Here is a 15,203-nt window from a genome sequence, read left to right as displayed (position 1 = left end):
ATGTATACATGTGCCATGTTGGTGTGCTGCACCCATTAACTCGTCATTTAGCATTAGGTATATCTCCCAGTGCTCTTGATTATATACCTAGAAGTGAAATTGCTGGGTCATAGAGGAACTCTATATCTAACATTTTGAGAAACTGCCAAGCTGTTTTCTAAAGTGACCACATCATTTTATAGTCCTACTAGCAATGTATATGAGTTTCAATTTCTTCCCATATTCAGCATCACTTTTTAATTTTGGCTCTTTTTGATTATAGCCATCCTAATGGGTATAAAGTAGAGTCTCCCGTTTGTCAATCATGGCTATGATGCTAAAATTCTCATCTTCCTTTTTTTAAAGTAAGTTTTCTAATACAGAGTTCCTCCTAAAGAAAGCCCTGTTCCCCTTGGCATGTTTACAGTGACTCTCACATAAAGGGAAAATTAATACAAACATACTGGACATTTTCCATGGGATGGGACCTACATTAAGCGTATATTATCTCACTAGATCTTCTCAACTGCTGTTTTGGATGGACAAGAACATACGACCATGGTAGTCTATTATTCTAAAAAGTTATTGAACAAAACATACCTATTTAAAACCCCAGTTGTAAAACCTCAGTGTCCCCAACCGTCTTGATTTCCCCAAATAGGTTGTTCCATTTCTCTCATGAGTGCCCTTTAAGTATTTCATATTACAAAGGGAATTATTTTTCCAGTGACCTTGGCACACTGAAAACACCCCTGGCAAGCTCATTTAAGCTCACAGAACACCAGAGGAAGTAGTTAGAGAGAAAGCAGGTGGCTTCAATATACTACTTTGGCTTTCAGCTAGTAAGTGCTCTCCACATAACTCCTAATCAATGAGTTTTTCAGCAAAAGGTAGGTTGAGGGGAAGAGTGTTAGTGAGGAATGAGAGAGACTGATAAGTATTTGAGGATTACATCACCCAAAATGAAAGACAAACTCATGAATTGAGTAGACAGAAGATTTGACTCACTCAGTTGCTCTATTGATGTAGCCAGATTATTTTCTTTCCTGAAAGTTGCACATAAGAGAATAATCATCTAAAAGATATTCTTATTGTGTACTTTTATTCTGTAAATGTTCAAAAGCCAATATGTGCAAAACCATTTAGCAAAATGCCACCATGGGGTTCATAGTTTGTAATTTTAGAAAAGCAACCAAAGGCTGCTGTACCTCATAAATTATTCAGTAAGGAGGTTTGAGTAAGATTGAAAAGTAGAAGTAAAACCTACACTCCCAGCAGGCGAAATATTGTTTGACATTTTTAATCATAATGAAACATACGACCTAGCGGGGCAAAACTAAAACACATTTGCATGTCAAAGAGTAGGTTCCATTTAATTTGTTTAAGTTTCTTTGTTAGCATTTCTGTTTCTTATGAAATATCGTCAAGGTTATGAAGAATATAATAAGTATCTAAATGGTTGAGAGATATGAACACAGATAAAAACAGCTGATTTTCTGGCCAGTCTTTGGAAAGTGAGAAATTTGTATGCAAGAAGCCATTTCTCCCCTTTGCTTCTTTAGTGCAGTTTTATTGCATTTTCAGAAGGCAAGAAAAGTAACCAAAGTATCGGCCAACTTACATTTATACAATGTTTTGTCTCCTGACTGTGCATACAATTAAGGACTTATACTCTTTTTCACATTTTTTGCCCTTACCTCAGGAAAAATGTCATGACAGCAAACCCTTAAGTTTAGGGGTTTACTTAATCATTTTATCCCTGTCTTAAAGGGAATGGAAAGGAGTTGGGCCTGTGATTTAGAGGAAAATTGAATTTCACAAGTTCAGATTTAGAGTTGAGGCAACTTGAAACCTAAATTTTTCTTATCCTGAAAAGCTTTAAGATTATTGAAGAAAACAAAATGAACAGACAAAAAAAAACTCTTTCCACATATATAATCAATTTTTTTAATTTTGTGATAGGTTTTTATTTCTCATTGAATAAGCTGAAAAGTAACTTTAATGGCTAGTGAATTGATGTAAAGGAACACACATGTTTTCCATTGATTTTCCTCTTTTTAATTAATGCCATAATTTCTAGTTGAGAGAAGACTGAGAGAAACTGATTGATGCTTAAAAAGATATTCTAACTTACCAGGAAATCATCCTGAGAACCTGTGGTTAAATGATTCAGTTGGCTTAACAATGTGTGGAAGAGAGAGTTTTGCAAGTGTTTACACTTCACAAAGACTTTCCAAGAGTTGGATTTTGTTGAGCTGACCTTTAATGCACAGAAGAGATGTTAGGATTGGAGACACGTGGGTATGGCTCTGTGTTTGTCTGGGTCTATTCTCTTGACTACTGCTTCTAGTAAGGTTGGATGTTCCTCCAGGTCTGGGACAGAGCATGACACCTTTGGTTCTATAGCCCCAGTGTCTGACATTTACTGGAAAATCAAATATTTGAAAGAGTAAATGTGTAACTGCACAAATGAGTGAATGAAATGAAATTATGGCTAAATCTGGTCTCTTGGAAGGAACAGTGTTTCTTTGCATGTGATGGCATTTAAACGGATTTATGCAGTTGAATACTCACAGATAGCCCAGTCTAGGGTATGAGCCACAGGCCGTTTACATAATTTGAATGAACTCATAAATGAGTTTATTTTAAAGGGGGACCTAAATATTAGTTGTTTTGCTGCAAAATTAGGTGAAATCACTCTTAATTTCCCAAATCTGTAATTTCTCCTACCAACCTCCTTCTCTCACGAGCCTCTCTTACAGCAATTTTCCCAATTCTAGTGTCCTCAGTTTAGCTGGATCTCCAAACCCAATCCTGTCTCTGTCTTCTTCTTGCTATTTTGTTTTGGGTGAGTTACCTAATCTCTCCTAACATAAATTGTTCATTTGTAAGAGGAGGTGCAAACACACTTCTCAGTGTTATGAGGTTTTAATGCAATCATAGATGTCTTTTACTGAGTACATAGAATCTTGTACATAGATTTGATCTTTTCACATAGTCCCATATTTCTTGAGGCTTCGTTCATTTCTTTTCATTCTTTTTTCTCTAATTTTGTCGTCCCACTTTATTTCATTAATTTGATCTTCCATCACCGATATCCTTTCTTCCACTTGATCAAATCAGCTATTGAAGCTGGTGTGTGCTTCATGAAGTTCTCGTACTGTGGTTTTCAGCTCCATCAGATCATTTAAGCTCTTCTCTACACTGGTTATTCTAGTTAGCCATTTATCTAACCTTTTTTCAACATTTTTAGCTTCCTTGCGATAGGTTAGAACATGCTCCTTTAGCTCAGAAAAGTTTGTTATTACTGACCTTCTGAAGCCTACTTCTGTCAACTTGTCAAACTCATTCTCTGTCCAGTTTTGTTCCCTTGCTGGCAAGGAGTTGTGTTCCTTTGGAGGAGAAGAGGTGTTCTGGTTTTTGGAATTTTCAGCTTTTCTGCTCTGGTTTGTCCCCATCTTTGCGGTTTTATCTACCTTTGGTCTTTTATGTTTGTGACCTACAGTTGGAGTTTTGGTGTGGATGCCCTTTTTGTGGATGTTGATGCGATTCCTTTCTGTTTGTTAGTTTTCCTTCCAACAGACAGTCCCCCTCACCTGCAGGTCTGTTGGAGTTTTCTGGAGGTCCTATCCAGAACCTGTTTGCTTGGGTATCACCAGTGGAGGTTGCAGAACAGCAAATATTGCTGCCTGATCCTTCCTCTGGAAGCTTTGTCCCAGAGGGGAACCCACATGTATGAGGTGTCTGTCAGCCCCTCCTGAGAGGTGTCTCCTAGTCAGGCTACATGGGGGTCAGGGACCCACTTGAGGAGGCAGTCTGTCCATTATCAGAGCTCAAACACTGTTCTGGGAAACCACTGATCTCTTTAGAGCTGTCAGGCAGGGATGTTTAAGTCTGCAGAAGCTGTCTGCTGCCTTTTGTTCAGGTATGCCCTGCCCCCAGAGGTGGAATCTAGAGAGGCACTAGGCCTTGCTGAGCTGCAGTGGGCTCCACCCAGTTTAAGCTTCCCTGCCACTTTGTTTATTATACTCTATGAGCATAGTACTGCCTACTCAAGCCTCAGCAATAGTGGACAGCCCTCCCCCTGCAAAGCTCCAGCATCGCAGGTCGAACTCAGACTGCTGTCCTAGCAGCAAGAAAGGCTCTGTGAGCATGGGACCCACCAAGACAGGCACAGGATGGAATCTCTTGGTCTGCCGGTTGTCAAGACCATGGGAAAAGTGCAGTATTTGGGTAGGAGTATACCATTCATCCAGGTACAGCCACTCATGGCTTCCCTTGGTTAGGAAAGGGAAATCTCCCAACTCCTTGCACCTCCCAGGTGATGCGATGCCCTGCCCTGCTTCTGCTTGCCCTCCGTAGGCTGCAATCACTGTCCAACCAGTCCCAGTGAAATGAACTAGGTACCTCAGTTGCAAAAGCAGAAATTACCCGTCTTCTGCATCAGTCTTGCTGGGAGCTGTAGACCAGAGCTGTTTCTATACAGCCATCTTGGAAGTGATTCCCTCCTTTAGTTCTTTGAGTATCTTTAAGAGAGCTGTTTTAAAGTCTTTTTTTATTAGGTAAATCTGCTATGAAGTCTTTCTCAAGGATAGTTCCTCTTTTGTGTTTGTGTTTTTTGTTTCCCTGTAAATGGGCCACACTTTCCAATTTAATTGTATGCCCCGTAGTTTTGTTGTTGTTGTTGAAAACTGGACATCTGAACTAATAATGTGGCAGCTCTGAAAATCAGATTCTCCTCTTTCTCCAGGACTTGTTGTTTTCAATTTCTGTAGGCTGTCTCTGTGCTGATGATCAACCTGAGGTGTAAACTTAAATTCTCTTCAGGTGTTTTCTGAGCATGAGCCTTTGCCTGGGTATGCACAGTAATTTTTAAAATGTTCCAAAGTATGCAGTTGCTTTTCAATGTCCTAGTGTAGTTTGGCTCCACAAAGAAGAAAAAGAGAAAAAGGAAAGTGATAAAAAAAAAAAAGGCAGTGGACATTTCAATCTCCTCAACGTCATTCAACGGAAGGGAATTGGGTTTGTTTTAATGGGGGGGTGTGAAACAATAATAGCTGCTCACCTCTGGCTTAGGCCTCAGTGATTAGAAACAGCAATCAGAGTTCAGAACACAGATCCCCAATATTTAGAAGACAGGTCTTTATTGCTGTCCCACACCCCAGTTCCTACGATATGCATGGAAGCTGCTTCAGGAGCACATGCACCGGTGCCTGCCATGGGGCTGTGCATGGGGAAGTAGTAGCTGCTGTTGAGCTAAAAGCTGAAATTGACCAAAGTTAACCACAACTGAGTGTTGAAGCCTTCTCTTGGAAGCTTCAAGGCTTTAATAGACTCCATAGATCCAAAACAGTCATATAAGGCAGATTCTGCAAGCTTAATTGTTATGTAAGGGGGAGATAGATTCCTGGTGCTTCCTACCCAGTCATCTTCCTAGACTCCTCCTCTTGGCCTTCAGTTCTTAGTCTTCTTATCCATGTAGTTTAATAATGGTTTAACAATTGCTGTGAGAATATGTGCACATATTTATATTTACTTATGCTCTTTATGATACTTCTGAGACCTATGAGCTAGAAATTGACTTATGTAAAGTGGCTTACGTATTTCCTTTGGAGAAAAGAATGTTTTGGCTCATTTCAAAGTGTTGCATGCTCTCTAAGGAAAAATGCAATGTTTCTATACATATTTTAAACGAGTAAGAACCACAAAATTGTCTTACCTGTTCATGGAAATAATTGAGTTACTAGTTATTGGAGTACTCTGTCCCATCACCTTTTTTTCTTCTGAATTGTGAGAGGGCTTGATTTAATGGGCCTGACTTTAGACATCGGAGAATTCTAATTCTATTTCTCCTCTTACTAGTTTGGCAATTTGGGAGAACTATTAACATCTCTATATCTCAAGTCTGTATTTGCTAAAATGGGAATAATAAGAACTAACTCAAAGGCATATTGTATACATGGTCAGCAAACATACAAAATGAGATGAAGTATAAATATGCCTAGTCCCTAACTGGGCTTCAGCAAATGCCAGTTTATTTCCCTCCTTGAAGCTGAACTGGGCAGCTTGCTCTGCAGTACAGAGTTGCCTAAAATAATGCAATGATGAGACTTGAATACCAGGTCAGTAGCCTGCCAAGCTCTTTTTTCTAATCTCTCCTACTGATTCTTAAATATGGCCCAGATCCAAACTTCCCTTCAGGAGCTTGTTTTTATCCACAGCCCAATCTAGAATGTTTGGGTCCTTGACTTGACTTAGTCTAGTTCCTGGAGAGGCTTACCTTGTCTGGCCTTTGTCTTTCTCTTTTAATCAATAGGAGTTATGCTTTTAATAAAGAAAAACACAGCATATTTCAGAACAATGTATTATATGATAATTCCAATCACAAAGAGCAAAGTTGACTCTCTCTGTTTTATCAGTATATTACTATTTGAATGTTTGTCCTCTTCAAAGCTAATCTTGAAATTTAATTGCCATTGTAACTGTATTAAGAGCAAGAAACTTTAAAAGGTGATTGGGCCATGAAGGCTCCACCTTCAGGGATGGGATTAATGCAATTATAAGAGGTCAAATTTGCTCCCTTTTGCCTTTCTCAGCCCTTCCACCTTCTGCTATGTGAGGATCCAGCCTACCTCCCTCCAGAGGATGCAGAGTACAAGGCACATCCTTCTTGGAGGAGGAGAATGGCCTCACCAGACACCAAAACTGCCAATGCCTTGACCTTAGACTTCCAGCCTCCAGACCATGAGCCAATAAATTTCTGTTAATTAAAAATTATGCAGTCACAGGTATTCTGTTATAGTAGCACAAATGAATTAAGGCAAGTTATCTCTTTTATAAGACTCTAGACCAATCGTTTACAACCAAATGTAGATTTGTATCTGATGGATATCTGGAGATATTTTTGGTTGTCATACCTGCAGGGGGTGCTGCTGGCATCTAGAGGGTAGTACAAGCCAAGGATACTGCTAAACATTTTACAATTTGCAGGACAGGCCTCATGACAAACAAAATTATCTGGTCCCCAATGTCAATAATAACAAGATTAAGAAGTCCTGATCTAGACTGAGCTGGGTATCCAGCTAGCCCCCTCAAACTCCCTCCCAATAAGCAAAGAGATATTAATCTCCCTGACAGTAAGAGAAGGATGGGCAGCATTCCATTGCCATGGTCATCATACACTTATTAGGTACATGCCAGGGGTTCATCCCAACATGAACCTCTAAGACAAGATGTAAAGTAACTATAGTATATTAGATAACATACCACAGCTTGGAGTTAGACAGATTTGTATCTGGTTTTTGCTCTGTCACTTAAAGCTATAGTTCTATGAGAAAGTAACTTGTGTTTCTGGAGCTTCAGCAACACTCAACAAAATGGTAGTGGTGGTATGCAGAAATTATGTTTCTAATATCTTTAGAATAATGGTTGGAACATGGGAAACAAACAATAAATTGTAGATGTTACAGTTTTGACATCTTCATTACCATCATCGTCGTCGTCATCGTCATCGTCATCATCATCATCATCATCATGTCTCATCTTAGCCTGACTTATAGCTATCTCCATGTTACAACTTAAGCTGTATGTGCCCACAATTCTGCATTTAAAAAAAACCATCTGTGTCAATTAACCTATGCATGACACAGTCAGGGAGTCAATTCGAGGAGGGTGAAAGGAAATCAAGCAGTCAGAGAAAATGACATTTCATCAACTTGGCCCCACTTTCTATTAGCTTTTAGATTGATTTTCATGGAAATATATGATATGGGCTGGCATTAGAGGAAAATGTCAACTTGCAAATGTGCTGGTTGTTGACAAGTACCCTATATTGCAGAATATTTTTATTCTTCTTTTCCTTTTTTTCCAAGATAATTTTTACATTTTTTTCTGGCTGTTTCTGAAACACTCAGGCCTTCTCCAGTTTCATGCATTTGTTCACTCTATCACTTTGATCCTTTAAATTAGAAGAAATGTTACTGGTCTAAATTATAGAAAAGTCCAGAATTTCCTAGCTTTAAAGGGATCAGTCTAAGGCTCAAGTTGTATCCTCAGTACCCAGTGTCTTTCCTTATTATCCCCTAAATCTGATCTCAACTGTTTTAGTCTCAGAGTCCCCCAGGTGTCAAGTCACTTATCAGTAGCTATGGATTTATGTCTTTTCAGATTGAATCCAGTGTCATGGGAGAATGTCTGTTTGTCTAATCCCTTAAGATCTTTAAGGGCAAAAAGCATATCTCAGTAATCTTTTAAACTCTTACAGTCTAGCATAGAATCCTACAAGTGTAGGAGTCTACTCACCAAATACATAGAAAAGACTGGTTGAATTAGATTTTCCAAGAATTCATATAGTTAAATATAGATAAGATACTCAAAAGGAAAAAAGAAAGAAAGTTGACTCCTAGAGAGAAAAGGCACTTAAGTTGTACAACTGGTTAGTAGCAGAACATGAGAAACATTATTGATTGCTTGTAAGACAAGGTCATCCAATTTCCATTTCCAATAAATGTTGTGATGTGATTGCCGATGAAATGTTAGGAGATATCTGCCAGTGGGACTTCAGAGAGATGGTATTTTTGGCTTGTTTTTAACCTTCAAAATTGACCCATGAAAAGACACAGCCTCATTATTTCGCATAATGCTGCTTAGCAGTATATGCCAGATGGAACTCCAATAGACATTATTTGGCCATGGAAGGGGTGAACACAGAGAGGCTGGCAGAAAAGAAAGTTAGGAGGAGAAACCTAAGCCATGATGATGTCATTAAGCTGTTTAATGAACCAGGAATATCCTACTTCTACAGTTCTTCTTCTTATGCAAGACAATAAATGTGTTTACCATTTAGGTCAATTATGTTAGGATTTCTGTAACTTGCAGCCAAAAATATACTCCTGGGTACCCAGAGAATGAGGGCTTTTCCCAAGAGATCAATTCACTTATGCAGAAAGAAGACCTTTGGAATGAAAGCAGTTTTGTTTGGCCTAAACGTATGAAGAACATTGTCACCTGGTCAATAATTTCACAGATTCAAACTTTGTAGACAGTCTACTGGCCCCTTTTGATGCCCTTGCAGTCAGCATAATATTGCAAATATAGCTTCTTCCTTCAAGGAGTTTTGGTCCCCCCAGAGACTTGAGAACTGATCTGTCCAGCCTGATAAGATATGTCATGCCAGCTTACTCTGTTTTTATCTCAGCGCTACCAGGTATGTTGTAGGTATACTCAACATAAAGGTTAATTAGCAGATCCAATGACCTAGGTAATATGTATGTAGGAGATGAACATCTCTAGAAATAGATGAAAGGAAAAAGAAATGTGGGAGGGAAGAAAAAATATGAATCACCTTCATTTATCTTATTAATACATTACCTTAAATTCTGCTTTTAATTACTGGTAGGTCTGGTCTCAGGAAATGGCAGTAGAGTTGCACTTAGAATTCTGAGTTTTGGAAAAAATGAATGAGAAATATCTCTTCAATTAAAAAGAAGGAGCTGTTCAATGTGACTTCTTCCAAAATATCCCAACATGTTAATTAATTTTTGTGGATCCTGAACAACTAAAAAATAATAATTATGGTAAAATACATGTTACATAAAATTTACTATCTTAATCATTTTAAATGTACAATTCAGTGATGTTAATTATCTGCACCTTGTGCAACAGAGCTCTAGAATTTTTGATATCGTAAAACTGAAACTCTACACCCACTGAACACCAACTCTTAATTTCTCTTGATCCTTGGAAACCACAATTCTACTTTCTGTTTCCATGAGTGAAATTATATAGTATTTGTCTTGTGACTGTGACTGAGTTATTTTATTTAGCACAAAGATGTCCAGATTTATCCGTGTTGCTACAAATGGCAAAATATTCTTCTTTATGGCTGAATAATACTCCACTGTGTGTGTGTGTTTGTGTGTGTCTGTGTGTATTTATCATATTTTCTTTATCCATTCTTCCATCCTTTGACATCTGGGTTTCTTCCACATTTTTGCTATTGTGAATGATGCTTCAATGCCCATGGTTGTGAAGATATCTCTTCAAGATCCTGATTTGAATTTCTTTGGATGTAACTCAGAAGCAAGATTCCTAGATGATATGGTAATTCTATTTTTAATTTTTCGAGTCACTACCGTACTGTTTTCCATAGTGGTTGCACCATTTTACATTTTCACAAGCAATACACAGGTGAACCAATTTCTCAGCATCCTTGCAAATACTTGACAATATGTTTTTTTTCTAATTGTGCCCATCCTAGTGGGTGAAAGTGATATGTCATTGTGGTTACGATTTTAATTTCTCCCATGCTTGGTGATGTTAGGATGTATTTTCATAAGCATTTTTTAAATTGGGTTATTTCATTGTTGAGTTGTAGGAGATATTCATATATTCTGGATATAAGCCCCTTATTAGATTTATGATTAGCAGATGTTTTCTTTCATTCTGTAGGTTGCCTTTTCACTCCACTGATTGTTTACTTTGATGTGCAGAACTTTTGGAGTTTGATGCATTCCCATTTGTCTATGTTTGTTTTTATATTGTCTCCACAATATTATTGCCAAACCCAATTTTATGAAGGTTTTTTCCCAATGCATTTTTTCCAGTTGTGATTTTAGGTCTTATTTTTAGTCCTTTAACTCATTATTAGTTGATTTTTGTATATGGCACAAAGGGTCCAACTTTATTCTTTTGCAAGAAAACATAAAATTTTCACAGCACCGTTATTGTAGAGACTGTTATTTCCCCATTGTGTGGCATTAGTTCCCTGCAGATGTTTTTTTAAGTCAGAAAGCAGATAACAAAATGGGCAGGAACATATTTTTGATATATAATACCTTAATTTATAGTGAGAGTTTGAGCTTCTAAGAGCTACTATGTGTTGCTTAAACATGACGTATAACAAGACATGCCAATCCTTAGCCTTAAATTTCTCATTTTTCATGGTTTATTTTTTATGTACTATAAGTGAAACTCAGTAGCAGAATTAATTCTGACCTCTAATGAAGATAGGCCAATTAAACATATTTAATGTTTACAGTTGCTGTACACTCTGTGATTTATTTTCTGGAAATAAAGTTGAAACACTTTATTTTCTGAAGCTGGCATTTTCTATAGTCCTTATGAAACCAGTTAAGACATTTTGAATGGTCTAAATTAATTGTACTCTATCTTTTGGTGTGATTTTTTTGGTAGGCAGGTGGAAATCAACTAATTCATTGTATATTTCCTGAACTTCTACTTTGCGTTTAGCAATGATGTATTAGATGAAAGAGATATTTTTCCTCTTAAGGACTAGATGTTTTAGTAGGAATACTGCATGCATTTAATTATAATATATGACAGAAACTAAATATCAACAACTGCGTCTAGGTAGAGTATGAGCTAGGAATGGAAGTTTATATCTGACTGAGTGCACTAGAAAAGGCTTCCTGAAGGATGAACTTTAGCTGATATTTGAAGGATGCTAAGAGTAAAAACTCTTTTATAATAGTTGATATTTATTGAAATCTCACTATGTCTTCAGGTATTCTTAGGGCTTTAATATGTCTTCAGGTATTGTTCTAAGGGCTTTAATACTTTCTTAACCTTTGTAATAATCTTATGAATTAGCTATTATTATCCCATTTTATGAGTAAGTAAATGAAGTCATACTGGAGTTAAGCCACTTGTCCAAGGGCCTACAGCTGACAAGCAATAGAACTGGGATATAAAGCCCTGTTGACTGACTGCAAAACCCAGCTTCTAACCACCCTGCTACAGGGCATTCCAGGACAAATGAAGACATTACCATAAAAGCAGGGTCAGGAATATATGAGGAGTTAATGGGAGTTCTCAGTGAGCTCCATCAGTCAAAGCTGAGAAACTTGTGCTTTATTCTGAGGGCAATGAAGCACAATGAAAGGGGTTAGCATCAGGGATTAGTGTGTTTAGAGCTATGATATATGAAAATTGAATGTACAGTAGGGCATAGAATGCTGTCGACTCACAGTGTATCACCTACGTGGTTTGATTATGCTTGTATTGCTGAAACGGAAAATGAGACTCAGAGATGCTACAGTAAATAACATCCTAAGGTCTCCTAAATAGTAAGTAAAAATAAGATAGCACAGCTAGCATCAAGACCCCTCCTCCCTCTCTCTCTCTCTCTCTCTCTCTCTCTCTCCTGTAAGAAGTGACTTGCAGGCGGAAATGCAGTCAGGTGACTACAATGCCACAGAGGAAGAGGTAACTAAGGCCTGCATTAGGAAGAAAGGGAATGATTGTCAGGAGCTTGAGACATTCAGAATCATTTATTTCCACTGTTAATTAGGACTAGGAAATTGTAAAAAAAAAAGAAAAACCAAAGAGTATTCTATGGGTTTTGATAGCAAAGTAGATACTGGCACCTTTAACAACAACAACAACAACAACAAAAAAACAATGAAATAAAGCATAAGGAATGCATTTTAGGGTAAAGATAAAGAGTCCAATTTTGGACTATCTTCCAGGTCCCATCCAGCATCCAAGTAGATAGGACTAGCAAGCTAGACAGGCATGTCAGAAGAAGCACAGAAAGGAAGATGTGGATCTGGAAACTAATATTCTCAGAGAAGTGATGGCTGCTCTTTTCTTTTGGACTGAATTGAAAAATTTTGTTATATAAAGTTAACATGTTCCAATTTTTAAATATGTTTGCTGTTTCCTCATAAATCTTCTTTCAAGGGGTTCTTAATTTGTTTTTTCATTTTTTTTTTTTTTGCTTTTTGAAGCTTATATAAGCAAGTATATGCATATATTTACACATATTTGTATTTTGTGCCCATGCATATGGAAAGATAGATAAATGGAGAAATAAATAAATGATAGATATTGTCACATTGTATCATATTAAAACAAAAATTGCAGCATTTTCCCCCTCTGAAGCTAATGAGATTCTGGAATCTCAGTTTTATTCTGCCTCTACTCATTGGCAGAAGACATTGCAGCAAGGACAAGAAAGGAGAAGAAAAAAAATGGCAGAGGAAAAGAAAATTTATGAAAACAGTCTGTCAAAGCCTAGCATCTGGAGTTTGGCATTTCAGGTGACACCAGAGATCTGTCAGGGAATGAGGACTGTATTAATCCTCTAAGTGGGTTAAGCAGGACAAGTGTCTGGAGACAGGGGACAGAGTAGTCCAAGCAAGACTGCTGGAAAAGTCAAGGGAAAGATGCTAGAACCAGATTAAAATTTCAAAAATAAGGTAGCTATCAGGTTTCACAGAAACTGAATTATGTGTATTGACATAAGAAAGTTAGTGGTTCTTGTTTCGGCTCTGAGAATCCCAGTTAATAAAGGATAAAAGAACAGACTTATTAATGCTAATACTTGACTTTTTGAATTGAAGTTTACTAAGTTTCCTATGAGAAATATCAGAGATGGTGTCTTTGTCTCCACCCTTAAATCTAGGATGGCCATATGACTGATTGATGGCAGAACAATATTGTATGAGTTCTGAGCCTAGGTCTGAAGAAGTGTGGTTTACTTTAGGTCATTTTCTTGGAATACCTCTGCTCTTCCCTTGAGAACAAGTCCAGGCTAACCTGCTGGGGGTTAAGAAAACATGTGGAGTAGAGAGGAGCCAACCCAGCTGAGACTTGTTAGATTAACCAGCAGCTGCCAACAATCACAGGAGTGAGCCGAACTAAGACCAGCAAGTCCTGCACTCAAGAGCAGAAACACACAGATATGTCCAGCACAAACTGCTGACTCTCAAGACCACAAAATCATGAGCAGAAAAAAAGGGCATTCGTGGTGGAAAAACATGTAATATGCAAATTATTAGCATTAGGAGAAGCTGGGTGAAGGGTATTCAGAGTCTTTGTATTAATTTTGCAACTGCTCTGTAGTTTAAAATGATCTCAAATAAGAAAATGCTTTTTCGAAAAGGCCAGTATAGTTTATGCCAAACCTTGTTGAGATGTTTGTTTTTGGAACACATTGATTCTACTATAAAGAAGTCAAACAGCCCCATAGAAAGGATGTATGTAGTTTTTTCAGCCACTCCTTAACCTGAGGTCCCAGAGACATGTCAGACATGAGCAAGCGCATCTTCTGATGATTCCAGCTTCTCAAAGTCAAACCACTACAGCTGATGCCAATGGAATAAAGAAGAACTGAACCCACATTGCCACCCACATTGCTGGTCTATGAGTGAAATAAACATTCTTGTCTTAGGTTTCAAGATTTTGCAGTGTTTCATTGTGCAGCAATGAAAAATGGAGCAGGCACAGAAGGTGTAAGGGGCCATTAAATCTGATGAATTATATTTTATTTTTCTTACCTATGTTTCTATTATTATCTCTGAATTTCTACATGAATTTCTTATGTAGTTAAAATAAAACATTGGAAGTAAAAGCACTTACAGAGGCAGGTTTGTATTATCATTGCCTCTCTAAAGTGTTGCAAATAGTTTGTTAGGCTAAGTCATGAATATGTGTGTGAATTCAAGATAAAAATGAATTCAGCAATAGGTAAGGGTTAAAATACTAATAATAATACACATATACACATATATTTGAAAAAAATGAAAACAAATTCTTGCTGTGTCCCCTATCTCATTGTGAGATGCTTAAAAATATGAGGGGAAATATGTGAAATAATTATAGTTAATTTATTTCAATGATTGTTGGTTATTTGGACTCTTGCCACTAAACCAAATTAGCCAAAAGGTTATATCACATGATTTAACACACATGAAACATGCATATTTATTTCTTATTTATTTTCTTCTTTCATTTGAAATCACAACCACAGTAATAGATTACTCTTCCACTCATTGCACAAAAGCCTGTAAGTAACCAGCACAGATACAACTTAATGGTATAATTGAAAGACAAAATGATATTAATGAGACAAGGAGTTCTTATGCTCATTAGGTTTGAGTGTATTGGAAAAAGCAACAGTATGTTAAAGATTGGCAAAATTATACTACAGAGCCAATCAATATAGATGTGGCAATTTTGTTAGTGAATAATTAGTATAAATAATGCTGTCTTGGTTTTAAATACCCAAATAGTGAAGAAAATGATGAAATCAATGGTAGGAAGCAGATGGATCATTTAATTTATTTCTCAATTATAGCTGACACATTAGTTACAGGAATTTTCATGTCATCTATTTTTATGGTTCATTTTACAGCTGTGTTTATTGTTATAATAAATAAATACATTATATTTTCTTATTAGAGAAAAAAATTGAAATTTAC

Source organism: Homo sapiens, chromosome 10, assembly GCF_000001405.40.
Source record: "Homo sapiens chromosome 10, GRCh38.p14 Primary Assembly".
NCBI lineage: Eukaryota > Metazoa > Chordata > Mammalia > Primates > Hominidae > Homo > Homo sapiens.
This window is presented reverse-complemented; position numbering follows the sequence as displayed.